Raw genomic sequence first — 17,731 nt, 5'->3', positions numbered from 1 at the left:
GGAAAGCATTAAAACTCAGAATTTAATTTGACTAAATTTGTTTGCCAATTCAACTCTCAATTTCTAATTTTCAGTAAACTTTTATATCCTCACAAATGCTTTACATGGGTAGGTTTTTGTGGAAAACAATAAAGGCAATGAACATTCTATCTGGGTCAATGGTTCTTGATCTTCAGGATGCTTTAGAATCACTCGGGGAACTTTTGAAATCTGGATGCTGATGTCAGACTCCTGAGTGATTACAACAGAATCTCTGCAGGTGGCACCCAGAAATCGGTATATCTTAAAAGATCCCAGGTGAATCCAATATGCAGCTTGATTTGGAATGAGTTATTGTGAAACAATAGACTACAGTGATCAACGTGAACTAATCTGAGAGACTCCTCAGCAATCATGTCTCCTTTGTTCTTTAATCAGTTCTATTTCATCTTATTGGAAACAACTATTTTAATTTTGTAAGCCTCCACTTTTCTCAAAACTTCCAACTCCAATGCCATGTATACTCTCAACTAATGACTTTCCTTCTACCTTTCAGAGATAATTGGAGCTTAACATGAAAAATTTCTTCATTTCTTGTCACCAAATCTGTAAATGTGTTTTTTCTGAATTATGTTTCACTAGTGCCTTTCTATCAATATTTGACCATCCAAAGTCATCCATCTCTAGAAAGTAACAATACAGAAATATAGGCCGTGTGTTTGTTGGAAATAAAATAACACTAACAAAGACCTCTCTGAACCAACATAGAAAAGAGAACACAGTTTATTACTACATGAACATGGTCAGATTTCTATGCACGTAGGTACTACAAAAGTGACTAAAATGTCTAGGCAGACTTTCACATAATTTATTTAGCAAAGCAGAAGTAAGAATAACTTCTCATCTCCTCAAGAGACAAAGGGCTACATCCTAAGATAGTCCTCTTGTGAAAAACTCCCAAGTAAGTTTTGGAGGCATTTGTTTACACTTCCAAGGGTCAGAAAGTCCCCATTCTTCCACTGCAAAATCAAAAGCATAAACCTGTTATTTGGACCTATTAAGATTTCAAGGAAATACTCTAAGGAAGACAGGATGGAGAGATAGTGACCTCCAACCTCAAAAAAGTCATCATTTTACCCTTATGGTGTGTTTTGCTTGGTATATGCATATGTATTTCTTAGCTTTGTGAAGTGAAAGAATCTAGAAGAAATGACACCCTAGTAGAACACCTAGCCTCTAGACCTTTGTATCCAAACACTATTTCTCCATGAAAGAAACCCGTGCTCTTTGGGGAAATGATTAATTTTTAGAATAGGGAAAAATGGTTAATTCCTCCTTCTACAGAGGAAGGCTGCCTCATTTGGATTGAAGCCACAACTGAGTAAGGGCTTCAATGCATGTAGGTGACCCACGTGGGGTGTCAGAATCAAAACAAGGTGAGGGAGCATCCAGACAGAAGTATTATCCATCACCTGGTGTCTAAACCCCTCAGGCTAGTGGGAAGAGAACACCCATGTAAGGCAGTGGCACAGAATGGGATAAAAAGGATTTGCATGTAGAAGAGTCAAGTCACTGTGGGATTTTCTGGTGTAAATAGACTGAAAGGGGCATCTGTATAGGAGGGCTCCAAGGTGCCAGGTATCAAAGCCAAAGAACAGGAGAAGGAGTCCACACAGAAGTGGTGGCAGAACCCAAGCAAGATGAAAAGGGCATCACCGCAGTGATACAGCAAGGTTGGAGTGTCAGAGCCTCACTGAGCAGAGTGGGGTGAGCACCCATGTGGGTTTAACCCAGGAAGGATGAGAAGAGTGTCTATGTGAAATGGATGATAATCTAGGGAGTAGATCAGAGCCCAGGGATGGCATCCAAGAATGACGGTGGCCAAGCATGAGGTGTTGGAGTCAGAGTAGAGTGAAGAAGGTAACTACACACAGGGGTAGCTTAATGTAGAGTGCCAGGGTCTTGAATGGGGTCTGAGGATTAGACAGTAACAGGGTATTAGTGGGAATACAACCAATGCTGACAGTTGTGTTGTGAACATGTAGGAGAAACCTGTTTGTAAGGAATAAACCCCAAAATATTTGGTGGTAACTGGAAATCAGGTCAGTAACTTATTCTCTAATGGTTCAAGAAATTTCTTTTTGTATTTTACTTGAAAATTTTGTCTAAAGCTCAATATATAAATATATATACTTTTATGAACTGGCAAATAGCAAATTCATTCTTAGGTGTATTATCAATAGAAATGTATACATACTGAAAAGCTTCCTGTTTGGATGTTTGAAAGGAACCACCACATTCCATAGAACATATTTACATGGGGCTTTTATTTAAAGGCAAAGGATATGGTGCAGCAAGTGAAAGAGAGTGCGGGCATGGACTGGGAGTCTGAAAGACATCCCATGTTGAAAGCTACCCAGGGCTCCAAGTATTCACAGACACAGAGTGTGCATTCTGTCTCCAGTGTCAACCACCAAGATTCTGTGCTAGGAATCATGCTTTCAGGAGGGCTTCGAGGAGAAATTCTCCACAAGCCTTTTATGTCTCCTTGTCCATGTAATCAAGCTAGGTTTGTCAAACCAATTAGGCCAGTTGTAACCCATCAGTGAAAAACTGACCCTGTAGGTTACCAGGAGGCATTTCCTGACTTTAAATCATACATGATAAATGTCATTGCAGTTATTTTCACCAAGAGTAAAAAATCCAGATATCCAGGTTAAAAGACAAAGCTTTTTCTGTTCAGCTATAAATCTGCACATATTTTTACTAGAAAAAGAATATTTAAAGCATCGTATTCATAACAATAACAGAAGCCAACCCAAATATATCTATTAAGAGAAGAAATAGCAAATAAATTGTGATCTATTTCTACATGGAATACTATGGAACAATGAATAAATATGCATTATTGTTACATAAAATAACGTAGATCAATATGGCAAATAATGTACTGATAGTCCCTTTATATAAAGTTCAACACCCAGGCAAAACCAATCCCTTGTGTGAGAAATTAGGATATCAGTTGCCTTTGGGGTATTAAAAAAGAGGAATGGGCCAGGCACAGTAACTCATTCCTGTAATCCCAGCACTTTAGGAGGCTGAGGTGGGCAAACTGCTTGAGGCCAGGAGTTCAAGGCCAGCCTGGCCAACATGGCAAAACCCTGTCTCTACTAAAATTACAAAAATTAGCTGGGCATGGTGGTGAGTGCCTGTAACCTAGCTACTTGGGAGGCTGAGGCATGAGAATTGCTTGAACCCAGGGTGTAGAGGTTGCAGTGAGCTGAGATCATGCAACTGCACTCCAGCCTGAGCAACAGAATGAGACTCTGTCTCAAATTAAAAAAAGAGTAAGGATTGATAGTGAATATAAAATGAGGTGAGAGTTGCTGGTTATGTTTTATTTCCTCTCTTAGCTGATAGTTAAATGGCTGTGTCAACAATGTAAAAATTCATCAAGCTTAAAATTCGTTCTTAGATGTACATATGCAATATTTCAATAAAAGTGATTTTAAAATATTTTATATAGGGTTGCACACATATACACACACATGTGCACACACATACTCGACATTTATAACTGCTTTTGGAGTCTTCTCAACAAATCCATTTAACTTAACACTGAGTGGGTAGTGACATTACAGCATGTGTTTATTCTCTACCTTTTAAAGTTTTCTTCTATTATTTCCGTGAGTATTTGTTTTCATTTTTCATCTTTTAACTCTTGGTGACTCATTTAGATGGATATCACAACTTATGAATTCAAATTCCATTTCACTTAATGTTTCCCTCATATTTTTCATCTTTTTATATATTTTTAAATTTATTTTATGAAAATAGCTGAGGTTGATCCTCAAATTCAATTTGAAGGCAAAGGATGTTCATGCATAAAGTACTAGGCAGTTACTTTAAAAAATGAGACAGATTTCAGTCTTGTACATGTGCTATAATATAAAAAAATCACATTATCTTTTTTTTAATTTTTATTTTTTGAGACAGAGTCTCGCTCTGTCAACAGGCTGGAGTGCAGCGGCACGATCTCAGCTCACTTCAACCTCTGCCTCCAGGGTTCAAGTGATTCCCCTGCCTCAGCCTCCCAAGTACCTGGGACTACAGGCACATACCACCATGCCCAGCTAGTTTTTTGTATTTTAGTAGAGATGGGGTTTCACCATGTTGGCCATGGTGGTCTTGATCTCCTGACCTTGTGATCCACCTGCCTTGGCCTCCCAAAGTGCTAGGATTACAGGTGTGAGCCACTGCACCTGGCCCATATTTTTAAATTAAAAAATAGTACAATTTATGTAGTACAAGACCTTTAAAAATATCTCTCCATGTGTATGTGGTCTGTGTGTCTTAAAAATGAGTGCAGGCAAGTGTATTTCTAGAAACATACTTTATTAGTTGGGTGCATTGGGTTGCAGGTAACAGAAAACATTCTTATAGTGACTTAAGCAATAAAGTCATCCAATTTTTCTACATAGCAAGACCTCCGGAAATGGAGACTAACAGATTTCCTGCAGAGCTCAACAATGTCAATCACCCAACTTCTTTCTGTTCTGCCACCACAGCACATTCCATTTTCATTCTATGTAATTCCTCACAGTTATAAGATCACACACAACTAACACAACTTAAATAATTATGTCTTTAAACAATAAAAACCAAAGAAAGAAAAAATTTCATATATTTGGCCATCATTTTCATTAGAGGTCAAAATCCTACTAATAAGCTCCCTCCTTTGGCATTCTTCCTAAATACATTGTATTACCTGGAAACAGGACAAATATTCATCTCTAAATCAATCACAAGCAAAGGAATTACACTAACGTTTGTATTAGTTTGCTTTTGCTCCAATAATGCTTAAGAAACATGACAAGAAGTTACTGACCGATAACAGCAAGCATTTACTCCTTGCTCATGAATTTTGCGAATTGGTTGCCGCAGTTCTACCTTAGACTACAGATGAGAGTCAGGTGTGCTCCAGGTGTCTCTCATTCCTGGACCCATGTTGAAGGACACAGACTACTTAGAGCATTTGATTTTTATAATGCTTTATATATATTGATTTTTATAATGCTTTATAAGCAAGAGTTGAAGAGGAGAAACTTCTTTAAAGTTCTGCTTAGTTACTTCTATTACTATTAACCTACCAAATTCTATTGGGTAGAGCAGTCACATAGCCAAGCCCAAAGTCAGTGATACTGGGAAATATTCTTTCCTCATTAAAAAAAAGGTAAGGATGGGGAGGGAACAAGAATCATCTGTTTTAATTATTTTTTTCTCAGACAGAGTCTCGCTCTGTCATCCAGGCTGGAGTGCAGTGGCACAATCTTGGCTCACTGCATTCTTCGCCTTCTGGGTTCAAGTGATTCTCACACCTCAGGCTCCCAAGTAGCTGGGATTACAGGTGCACACCAGCATACCCAGCTAATTTTTTGTATTTTTAGTAGAGAGGGGTTTTGCCATGTTGCCCAGGCCGGTATCGAACTCCTGAGCTCTGGCAATCTGCCTGCCTCAGTTTCCTGAAGTGCTAGGATTACAGGCGTGAGACACTGCACCTGGCCAGAGAACAAAGAATTAGGAACACACAATACAATCTACCACAATATTCATGGCCTAGATCAACCATGGCTCATCCTCTCAGATTGAGAGAGGAATCCATTGTCTGTGAACTTGTTGCAACAATACAAATTTCTTATTCATTGTGAACAAGAAATAAGGAATTGTGGCTATTGAGTAGACAACAGTTCAATGTTGACTTCTCACTATTTAAACAAATTAGACTTTTTTTCTAATTGAGAAAACACACAAACTTGAAGAAACAACTCCAACATTGATGAAAATAGCAGTGATTTATTTAACTAAATATTTTAATTCAACAATTTAGAAAGAGAGTTTTTAATCTTCCACAAACAATTCTACCTTATTTTAAAAAGGCTGCAATTTATATATATGGGACATTCATGTCACAGTATATCAGACAACTCTCTGACACCTTGGGTGCCCAGTTTTCTTTCAGGCAGGACATCAATATTTATCTTCTTTTAATTCTGGCCCATCCACTGGCACAGACTGGTCCCTTATGTTATTATCATGAGCTAGTGATACAGGAAGAGAAGCATTGCTGATCTGTGAAACTGGACAATACATTTAATCTGTCTTGGTATGTAAACCACAGTAGGCACCATGTTTAACTGGGTTTATGAAATGACATCTTGTTCAGGGCAAGGGTCAATATTGAAGAGGAGCTATATTTAATGCTAAATTAAGTGCCCAAGTTAAAGCTAAATTGTTACACACACAAGTCAGTAATTTCAGAACTATGACTTGCAAATAAATCACAAATTGACCTCTTTGAGCACACTGCAGGAAATACTTTGTGTGACATTATATGGCACTAATTGTAAAAGCCAAATCTGACTTCTTTCCAATTATATGTCCAAAAATCATAACTGAGAATTCTCTCTCTTTGGATTTTCTGACATTCTTTCCTTAGTATTAAGGTAATGAATGGCTTCAAAGCTAAAGTTATGGGAAATGCAAGAGCTTATCCAATAGTTAATATCTGAATCTTAGGGTTTATCAACTGTAGCATATCTAAAGACACAAAACCCACCTTTGCTGATTTCCTGGATGCTCTAGATGTGCAAATACAAACCTCACTGCACATGGAAGTGCCCTGTCAGGCACAATTTTCATAAAGGGAATTTAAATAGCTATTTTAATCTCTAGACCAGACTGTGCATTCCAAGAATCTAAGACTAATGAGCCACTTTCTCAGATAATCACTTCTAAATAAACAAGGTCTTTTGCACTGACCCAGGAATCTGCATTGTAGCTGAAAAATTAATTATGCCAATATTATACTAGGCATATCTACAACAATACAAAAGAATGTTCTCTCCATCTCCAAAGTTAGATGTTCATTCAGATGAAATGCAATTTATTCATCTGGAAAGTTCTAAATGTTTTCCTTTGCACCTCTAAATGAGCAGAAAGATATTTCCTTTTAAGAAGAAAAGAGAAAATCCATTATTTTTACTTTTTCTTTAATATATATATAAATCAATAAATTCCCAAACTAAATTTCTCCCCTACTAATTTAATTTGGAATAAAATTAGAACCAATCATTATGAGCAAAATGTTTTCAATTAAGACATAATTAATTAAATGTGCAAATGCAGAATACATTTAGATGGGCTATCAGATGACTGATTATACTGGAAATCTAATTTTACACTTAAATTGCCAGCCACACACTTCATCTTGAGCTGTTGATCCATAGCAAGTTACCATAAGTTAAACCTTACCTCTGGAGGAAGCAGCCTCAGTGGACAAATTTTTTCCTGCAGTAATTCTATGACCATGCCATAGTAACTGTCTTTAGAGGGTAGTCAGAGGTATCTTGCATGAAGGAGCTTCATTCTTGCCATCCTTCTTGTTTTTCAAACAGCATTTTTTTTTTATTTTAAATAAGTAATGCACGTCTTGGCAAGTTGTGAAAGAAAGGCCTCTTTTACTCTTTTCTACTTACTAACCTTTTCTACTCACTCTTTAAAAGGAAGTTGATAATCAAAGTATTAATGTGTGAAAAGGTACTGAGCTTTGAACAATTTTTGAATTACTTAATATTGCATTTTAAACTGTCTAAATTATAGATACAAATGTCTGAATCTATACTTGCTGTTGGTGTTTATGGGTTAAGTATATCCTCAAACTAACCAGGATAATGAATTTTATTGCCTCAGAGATAGAAAGGATGATTTAGCAAGGTTTGTAATTGATATGCATCCATTTTGCTCTAAAAAATGAAGAGATTCCCATCACATAGTTTAAAAAATGTATAGGTCCAAAAATTGGCTACAGTCAATAATTCTTCTCTAAATCTGATGTTATTTAAGTTTCCTGAATATTTGAAAAATTTGTAAGATTTTTTCAAGGATTCTAAAAAGTGGGTGATTGAGGAGGAAAGCAAAAGTTGTCAGCAAGAAGCATTTGTTGAATGTCTACTATGTGCCAAGCAGTGCACTTGGTATTCTCATGTGTCATGTCTTTGTGTATCAATTACTAATCCATAGGTTGATGCAAAAGTCATTGCAGTTTTAACCATCATTTTCAAGGGCAAAAATCGCAATTACTTTTGCACCAAATGAATATCATTTCTCAGTCCCAAGCCAATGCTTCTATTTTTTGCAATGTTTAGTTGGACATCTATAACGGCCTTCCATGAGGCAGCCTACTGTCTCCCAGAGCATGATAAGGAAGTTCCTTGGGTTAGATATCTTTCTAGCCTGAAACATAACAATTTGCATTTCAGCCCATTGAATTAGACATTTTTCTCTTCAGATAATTTCTTTGGAAATGAAAATGTTCCTCAAAGTGTAGCTACCTATTGGGTCACTGAAGCTTTAATATTAGCAGGTTTGCTGGTTCGCTGTCTTCAAGAATAGTGGATATTTTGCCACAAAGGGAGAATAGGAAGCCAGAGTGGAAAGAGGGGAACAAAAACAGGGATAGATACAAGGGAAGAAGATAGACGGTATTAGCATTTACTACCCCATCATTATATGTACCTTGATTTGTTCCTGGAGTTGCTGAAGGATGGCTCAGTTTCCCCTTTCTTGTATAATTCTTTGATTCAGTTGTAGTCTGACTTTTGAAAGCTGACTGTAGAAAGAGGAATATTTAGAAAAATAGGCAAAGTGATGTTATGGTTTAAAATCATCAAGTGGGAAATCCAAAACCACGGTTCTCAACCTTAGCTACTCATGGAAACCACCTGGGAAATTTTTAAAAATACTGATGGATGGGTTCCATGCCCATAGATTTTTAAAAAATTCTTCCAAAGGATTCTGACATCCTAATCAGGGTTGAAAGCTACTGCTCCAAAGAGCTTGACATAATCAAATGAACATTTATCAGGTGTTCACAAGGTTTAGGAAGGCCCAGCACAAAGCAAAACCATAGAGACGTTGAGTACTCTTTTGCTTCAGCATTCAGCATCCAATTCCAACTCCATGCTTTTCCTTACTTCCAACTTCCATCTTTGCCCCGAGCAACCTGTGCAGAAAACCATCAGTTTCCCTGCTCCACTGGACATCTAAGGACTATGGTGGTGATAAAAAATGAGAGTCATCAAAAAGGTCCAAGTTTAGTGAAGATGTGCAAAGGGAAGCAGCCCTTCCCAAAGAATTCAGTGAATGAGCCAAGATTCTCCAGAAACCGCTCAGCTTTGCAGTGATAATTTTCTGTGAAGACATAGAGTGAAATGGGAATAAGAGATAGAAAGTTGAAAAAGAATTTTCTCAGAATCTACATGTAACCTTACAGAAGGCAAACAGAAGGGTTAGTGAGATACATGGAATCACGCAGCTGAGGTGAGACAATGTAGGAAAATCAAGCATGAGACAGGAAATCAGGATATTGTGTTTCTTTGTGAAGACTCGGTTCCCTCTAATTGCTCATAAACCTAAAATCCCTACTTCATTCTTTGTAACATTTTTTCTCATTTCTTCCTGGAATTTTTGGATTCCATGCTTTTTAAGATGGCTTGAGAGAAAGACTTATCAGAGTCAACCTAACAGGCATTTATTAAGATACTACCAAGGGTGAGACCCTGAGTAAATGATTGTCAAATTTGAATATGTGGTTAGAAACACCTGAAGGACTGCTGGGCCCCACACCCAGAGTTTCTGATTCATTGAGTTTGAGCTGGGACTTGGGAATTTACATTTCTAGCAAATTCCCAGATGATATTGATATTGCTGTCTGGAGGCCACACTTTGAAGACCACTGCCTCTAGGAATGGGAAAAGAAATTAGATATCAGCAATCTGTCCTTAATGAGATTGCTTAAGGCTTTGTATTAGGGATGTACTTTGTCATGGAACATGTCATATAAATGACAAACTGAGAACACTGGCAACATATTTTAAAAGTAAAATATAGTACAATACACGCCAGAAGTTCTGAGAAGGATAAATAATTAAGTAGTGGTGAGGCAGAAGAGGCTAATTAGAGATGACAAAGAATAATACAAAAAACATGGGCCACAGAGCCAGGGGTGGCCTGGAGCTGAGCTGAGCTTATTAGGGGACAACTGCATAGGTGGACTTAAGGGCAAAACTGAAGGTTTTAAATGCTATGAAGTGTAGGGCCATGCTGCTGGTGCTAATTAAGCACTGAGAACTACCTTTCATACAAGGCTGAGATCTGTGAGACAGCCTCTTGCTTCTTGATCATGAACATCTTCAGTTAGATAAAGAAAGGGTCTAGTGAGGGTAGGTGGGTTACTCAAAATCCCTAGTGTTTAATTAGTTTTAGTTAGTTGAGACTGATTGTGATGAAACACAACATTTAACTTTGCTATCTCCTAGGCAAGTGCTGCCAGAAATAAAAAGTCTCCTTTTTACAGAAAAGAGAACATGGAAAGGCTGTCCAGAGTTCAGTCTCAAAGGCAACACTGGGCAGGGACTGACAAAGGGTTGAGGAGTGTCCATTAACCTGGGTATTGGTGATGGAAAGCATATCCTGAAATTGGAGATAGCAAGACTCTTGGTGAACTGTTGAGTAGACTGGGTTGAATTCAGTGAAGGATCTAAAGGAAAAATAAAAATATTAATGCTTCTATGTAGTATTAAAAGTTGTGACCATAAGATAGCAAGTATAATCACACACCAAAAAATGACTTTTCTGTCCCAAGTGAGTGGTGGGCTTCAATGTAGTCACCCAGAAAACATTAAATATTTGTCATATGTTCAAGATACATTTTGAAACATCTAAGGAAATAGAAATTATCACTTTGTTACATGTGCATGTAGGTGCACACACAGAGTATTACTCAGCGAATTTTTTCAGCTTTATTCTATATAATTATATATTTTTTCCAGCCTTATTCTGCCTGACTATCCAGATTTTACACTGTTTAGATCTGGCTGTTTCCAAATTGCACAAACTGTCTTGAACTGAAATGGACAGAAGGCAGGCAAATACTGGTAGAAAAGGGCAGGATCTTTGGCAAGGGCTCCACCCACAAGCTTGGACCCTCAGCCCAAAGTGAGAACTATCCCTGTTTTCCCACCTGATTGTTGCCTTTTGGCCCACCCCACACCACCCCCTATCCTGTGCCCATAAGAACCCCAAGCCCCAGACTCAGTGGACACACACACAGAAGAGAGAAGTGTCTGGATATTGAGATGAGAAGAAGCAGCTGGAGGTCAGAAACTATGGTCAGAGAGGAGTTCAGCTGGAGACACCCGGGCTCCAGGGGAAGATTATCTTCCCACTCCATCCCCTTTCCAGCTCCCTTTCCCACTGAGGCCCACTTTTACCACTCAATAAAGTCCTCCACATTCACCACCTTCAATTTGTTCATGTGACCTGATTCTTCCTGGACGCTGGATCAGAACTCAGGTACCAAGACAGCAAAGTGTAAAAGGCTGTCACCCTGACCTTCCACTGAGCTGGTTAACACTTAGCCATCCACAGACAGCAAATGTTAAAGGAGCACTGATTGTAACACATGCCCTCTGGGGCTCTGGGGGTCGCAGACAGCCCCTCCCAGACCGCAGAGCTAAAAGACTATTGTAACACACTTTGACACTGCTGCAGAACCCACACAAAGCTTGCTCCCGCCGGAGAGGAGCCACAGGCCAGTTCCACATTCATTTGCTCTGGTTCCCACACCCATCCACTCATGTGCTTCCTTCCATAAGGGATTCAGCATGGTAAACAAGTAAACAAGTCACTCATGTCACAAGTCCTGCAAAGGGGTCAAGGGAACACTCCTGTTTCAGAACCATTGAGGAAATTCAAAGAATCTGTGACAAGCTTCTTACCAGTGCCCTGAGATCTTGTGATTTCTCAGGATAGAAATCAAGAGAGATCACCAGAGGCAGCAATGAAGAGAGTTTATTACCTCTCAGGGAGCCAGCCATGAGAGAGCAAAAAGGAGTGGGCTGTTCCCCAAAGATACTGTGTGGTTCGGTTAGGTATAGGGTCTTTCCATAGGGAAGGATTCCCTCAGGGAATGTATAGGGAGAGTTTTGCTAGCACCTGCACAATGGCTCAACATGTTTCTTCATACATTGCATGTAGCATTAGAATTTTAAATCTCCACCCCTGGGCATGAACTTTAGTGTTGAAATGAGGAAAAGATAACTTTAGGTTGGAGTTTAAGTCTGACTCCACATATGGGACTCTGGGAAAGCCTCTAGCCCCCTGAAATAGAAATTTGCAATTAATAGCTTCCTTGGTCTTTTATTGCTGATTGGCTGAGAGTTAGACAAGCTAGAGTTTGAGTTGAGGGGCTTTTATCCTTTTCCTTCAGACAATCTTAAGATAGGGAACCAACCAGTCGGCCTGTCTCAGGCTCTAAGGAAAATTCTGAGAGGTCAGCAAGAAACCTAATATTATAAACAACAGTGCCATCAGCAGTTATTTAAATATATAAATATAAATTTTAAAGGTCCTATTAAAGTCATTCTGAGCCTGTACATTTAAACCATTCTAAATGTTTACGAGTATTTAGATACGAGAAGAAATTAGACCCAAATTATGCATCAATATCCAATACATGTGCACTGTGTATTCAAGATCAATATAATCTCCCACAGACTGTTCTGCTGAGTTAGCTAATATACAAAGACTTAGTTTGTTTTCTATATGTTAGAACATGAAAGAAAAGATATGTAGCTCACTGCCATTCCAAAATCCCAACAAATTATGGAACTGCCTCCATTGTGAAGCTGGCTAGTTTTCTTTTTTCTTTTTTTTGTTTTTTAACAGAGTTTCACTCTTGTCACCCAGGCTGGAGTACAGTCGAGCAATCTCGGCTCACTGCAACCTCTGCCTTCTGGGTTCAAGCGAGTCTCCTGCCTCAGCCTCCCAAGTAGCTGGGATTACAGGCATCTGCCACCACACCCAGCTAATTTTTTTGTATTTTTAATAGAGATGGGGTTTCACCATGTTGGGCAAGCCGGTCTTGAACTCCTGACCTCAGGTGATCTGCCCACCTTGGCGCTAGTTGTTTTTTAAAAGCCATCTTTCTAATGAAATGTAACACTGATGATTGCCTTACACATAGATAACATTAGGCCTCACATAGTAATCTCAGTGCTAACTACATGTCTTACCCTTCCTAAAATTTTACATTTTCTCTGTGGTTAAAGTCATCTTACAAAAAGACCCACATTTTACAAAGATTTAATTGTCTTGGATTTCAAATTACAACTAGTTTGATAGCCAAAAGGTTAAAAACAAATTGATTTTATGAAAAATTCTTATAGTATTAAATTTGACATGGATTACCATTAATAATAGAATCCTCTGCTGGCTGTGAGACATGCAAAGTTGCAAAGCCCAGATCCACAGATTAGAAAGGATTTTGACATGTATAATTGTGTTAGTCAGTTTGGGCTGCTATAACAAGATATCATAGACTGAGCGATTTAAACAACAGAGATTGATTTCTGGAGTTCTGGAGCCTAGGATAGTCCAGGGTCAGGGTGTCAGCAGACTGTGACTGGTGAAGACCCCCTTCCTGGTTTGCAGATGCTGTCTTCTTGTATCCTTAGATGGCGGAGAGAGAGATCATCTTTTCTTATAAGGGCAGGAATCACACCTATGAGGGCTCCACACTCATGACCTAATCACCTCCCCAAGGCCCCAACTCCAAATATCATCAACTTGGGGGTTAGGCTTCAATATATGAATTTTGGGGGGACACAGATATTCATTCACAGTAATAGCACTGTTGACAGCACACACAGATACCCCACATTCTTTTGCTCTTTCTGTAAGCCTCTTCCAACTGCTTTGTGCTTTGCTTCCGAAGGCCTGCAACTGAGACTTTTTTTTTTTTTTGAGACTGAGTCTTCCTCTGTAACCCAGGCTGGAATGCAGTGGCATGATCTCAGCTTACTGCAACCTCTGCCTCCTGGGTTCAAGCAATCCTCCTGCTTCAGCCTCCTGAGTAGCTGGGATTACAGGCACCTGCCACCAAACCTGGCTAATTTTTGTATTTTTAGTGGAGATGAGGTTTCACTATATTGGCCAGGCTGGTCTCGAACTCCTGACCTCTTGATCCGCCTGCCTCAGCCTTCCAAAGTGCTGGGATAACAGGCATGAGCCACCAGACCCGGCCGCAACTGGGACTGTCTTTAAGGATCTCTGCATGGAGCTGGGAGAGGGGAGCTTTAACCCTCTGTGCAGTTCTTAGGCAATGACTGACTGGTCCAAGTGTCTGACAATCTGACTCCCTGGCCTCAAGTTGGATGAGGCTGAAGCTGGACTTTGACAAAATCACACACTTTCTTGGGTTCTCTCTTTTCCATATCCTTCTTTCCCTTCTCCTTCCCTGTCTTCCTTTGAGATCACCTTGTTAACAAATTACTCCCACATGACTCCTCATCTCAGGGGCTGCTTGAGGAGAATATGACATCAGGCAATATATGCACAAAGAGCTTTACAAATTTATAAAATTTTTTTAATTAATTTTTTTTTGTAGAAATGGGATCTCTCTATGTTTCCTAGGCTGGTCTCAAACTCTTGGGCTCAAGCAGTTCTCCTACCTCTGCCTCCCAAAGTGCTGGGATTATAAGTATGAGCCATTGCACCCTGCCAAAATAAGATAACTTTTGTAACCAAAATATAGGCAGAGCCCTTCATGGCACAGACTCTGCACAGATTTCATCTGAAACCAACAGCAATCCAGTATTCTTTAGTTACCCCTCAGAAATATTTAATTAAGGTTGGGGATAAATGGCTGTTATGAGACAAGGAACATATGTTGATGCAAGTAGATTTATTACAATGATCCCATTTCTACTCACATGTTACTGAGGCTCAAAGAAGTGAGTACTGCACATTGAGTATATGACATGGGACCAGCCCAACAGGTGAAAGAAGTTGGAAATCTGTTTTATGTCTGAATTTGAAATGCAATAGCAGAAATCTGTTTTACGTGTAAATTTGGAATGCACTGCCATAAAGTATATCCTTTAAAGGTTTTATGCCTATGGTTACAAATCTTGTGGAGTGAGGACTTTAACATATCCCTCTTTTCTCTCAGACAGAACTGTAAGGTCTAATAAACATATTGGATTTAAGTTCTAATAAAGATATAAGCCATAAAATTAATCTCTTGTTAGGCTTCTCTGCTTACATTTGTACACTTGCTTCCAATCTTCAAGCAAGAGAGCTCTGCCCTCTAGAAAGAAGATGTGGGCCCATTCTGCAGGCCCAGAGGATTCAGGGACAGCTGCAGTTTCACATTTATCAATGACATCTATTCACATTTTCTGATTCCAAGTCTTAAGAAGCCATTTCTTCCTTACCAAGTTCCTGGCTGTTGCATGGGATTGCTGAGGATGTAAACTGGGTGTCCCTGAAGGTCCACTGTTTTGTTTTTGTTTTGTTTTGTTTTGAGATGGAGTCTTGCTCTTGTTGCCCAGGCTGGAGTGCAATGGCGTGATCTCAGCTCTCTGCAACCTCTGCCTCCTGGGTTCAAGTGATTCTCCTGCCTCAGCCTCCTGAGTAACTAGGATTACAGGCATATGCCACCATGCCTGGCTAATTTTGTATTTTTAGTAGAGATGGGGTTTCTCCATGTTGCTCAGGCTGGTCTTGAACTCCCGACCTCAGGTGATCCATCTGCCTCGGCCTCCCAAAGTGCCGGGATTACAGGCCTGAGCCACCAAAGGTCCACTGTTCTTATAGTTGGTCCTGGCCTGGTCTTCAGCATGGTCTCCCTTGGCTATAGAAAAAGGGGGTTTGTTTAAGAGCTGCCAAGGGACTTTTTGACTTTCTCACTTTGCCTTATGCTGACCAACTGGAGTCTATTTATCATGGAACCCATCCACAGCCTTTGTAATGACCATTTACCTTGTACCATCAAAAGCCAAAGAAAATTGCACAATCTAGCATACCTGTTCTGTCAGAATCCCTTCTGTATTAGTTTCCTAGGGCTTCTATAACAAAATACAATAAATTGGGTGGCATAGAACATGAGGAATTTATTATCTCACAGTTCTGGAGACTAGAAGTCCAAAATCAAGGTGTCGGCAAGGTTGGTTCTGAGAACCGTAGGGAAGAATCTGTTCCATGACCTCCCTGTTGGCCTCAAATTGTTCTTGTGGATGCCCTGTGTCTTCACACCATCTTTCCTCTAAGCATGTATGTCTCCATGTTCAAATTTCACTTTTTTTGTGAGGTCAACAGTGATATTGAATTAGGGCCCACCCTAATGATCTCATTCTAGTTGGATTATCTGCAAATATCTTATTTCCCAGTAATATCACATTCCCAGGTACTGGGGGTGAAATTCAACATCTTTTGAGGTTACATAATTCAACCCATGACATCATCTTAATTCGCTCCAGGTAAAAGTTTTAGCAACTGCAATGCTCTAGTGTGTCAGGGCCCCTCTGGGCTCCACATACCCCCTGTGATGGGGTATTTATTGCCACTTAGCTGGTGACTTAACTCTAGAATCCCATCCTCAGAATCTGCCTCCAAAAATCATCCTTGCACTCCTAACCAAATACCTAAGGCTGGACCTCCAGAAGCCAACTCTGAGACACAGATCATGAACAGGGTATTTATTAAGGGCCAGGAGAAGAACACAAGAGAAAAGGAAATGAAGAACAGAGAAAGGCACAATTTTAGCCAACTCCCTGGCCTTAGCCAGATCTTTGGGGAGCTCTAGACCATAAATTATGTCAGAATTTGCCCCATTTTGAGGAAAGGGAGTCAGGCTTTCAGAATCTTGCACAGTCATTGGCTATAGGCTTCCCTAGAACTACACTACCAGGCATTCCAGGCTCTCTCTGGGAGGGAGGGACTGGCCCATGGTCAGCCTCTGAAGAAGGTCACAGGGGCAGGCCATTTGGAACAAAGCACAGAGAAGCTATAGGATGCATTCACATGGCTGGTAAAGTGGATAAGAAGGGGTCCGGGGAGAGCATGGAGAAAGTTTACCACCCAAAGCAATACACTTTTGCCTACTTGTGCTGACATTTACTGAGCTTCAACACAGGAATGTTCTAGATAAAATAATATTACTCTGCAACATTGAGGGAAGACCAAGAATGCCTTGAGATAGGACTCAGCATGTCCTGGAAGCAGGGTGCCATTGTGTGGGAGGGAGGTGCCCAGCAGAGGTAATTCTTGGATCCATGGCACCTGCGGTGGACAACTGGCCAGGAGGAGCCACAGGAACCAGCCCCACGGGCTCAACAAGGCCACAGAGCAGCAGCAGGAGGCCCTGAGTAAGACCCTGTTTGTGACAGTCCCCTGAAACTTTAAAAGACAAAGCAAGGGAAGAAAGCGGCGGTGAAGATGGATTAAAGGCCTCACAGTAACAGGTCTGTAGGTACAGCCAGAGAAATCAACGCTTATTGTTTTTAATGTGTCCCGCTTTTTCTTCTTCCTTTTAATGCCAGATGGGTGCGGCAATCCTTTGTTAAGACAGAAATTATTTTACTTTTTTTCCACAGTGGTACAGAAAAATGTACAGGGCTCATTAGAAATATTTAGTGGATGGAAAGTAATTTGAAGAAATCGATGAGGTTGAAAATAATAATAAAAGAAGTCAGAAAGGGGCAGAGAAAGATAGAAATTTACAGGTTTCAAAGCAGGGATACATGAGGAAAAAGGTTACATAAGTTCTCTCTTTGAAGCACAGAAGGTGTGCAGGAAGGGAATAACACCCATCCACATGCTCGTGCTCAAGAGATTCAGGTTTCTCTTAAAG

General features: G+C 39.8%; 1 long non-coding RNA gene across 3 annotated transcripts in view, besides 1 other annotated feature; it reads right to left on the bottom strand.

Annotated features, from left to right (window-relative positions):
• The window catches only part of LOC110091777 (uncharacterized), a 43,040-nt gene that overhangs the window by 7,784 nt on the left and 17,525 nt on the right, over positions 1-17,731 (bottom strand). For 2 of the 3 annotated variants that reach the window (NR_146656.1, NR_146655.1), the window contains 2 exons: positions 10,483-10,576; positions 4,366-9,228 (listed from right to left, as the gene is read on the bottom strand). The exons of the other annotated variant lie outside the window; for it this stretch is intronic. This is a non-coding gene — a long non-coding RNA (uncharacterized LOC110091777). Of the gene's footprint in view, positions 1-4,365; positions 9,229-10,482; positions 10,577-17,731 lie in introns of those variants that run through there. 3 annotated transcript variants of the gene reach the window in all.
• Positions 1-17,731: part of a sequence alteration artifact (region identified as an assembly artifact by the Genome Reference Consortium. This region falsely duplicates sequence located at GRCh38 chr21:13654079-13799312) that runs on past both edges of the window.

Source organism: Homo sapiens, chromosome 21, assembly GCF_000001405.40.
Source record: "Homo sapiens chromosome 21, GRCh38.p14 Primary Assembly".
Classification (NCBI taxonomy): domain Eukaryota; kingdom Metazoa; phylum Chordata; class Mammalia; order Primates; family Hominidae; genus Homo; species Homo sapiens.
The sequence above is the reverse complement of the archived record's forward strand: the minus strand, read 5'-3'. Positions and strand labels throughout refer to the sequence as shown.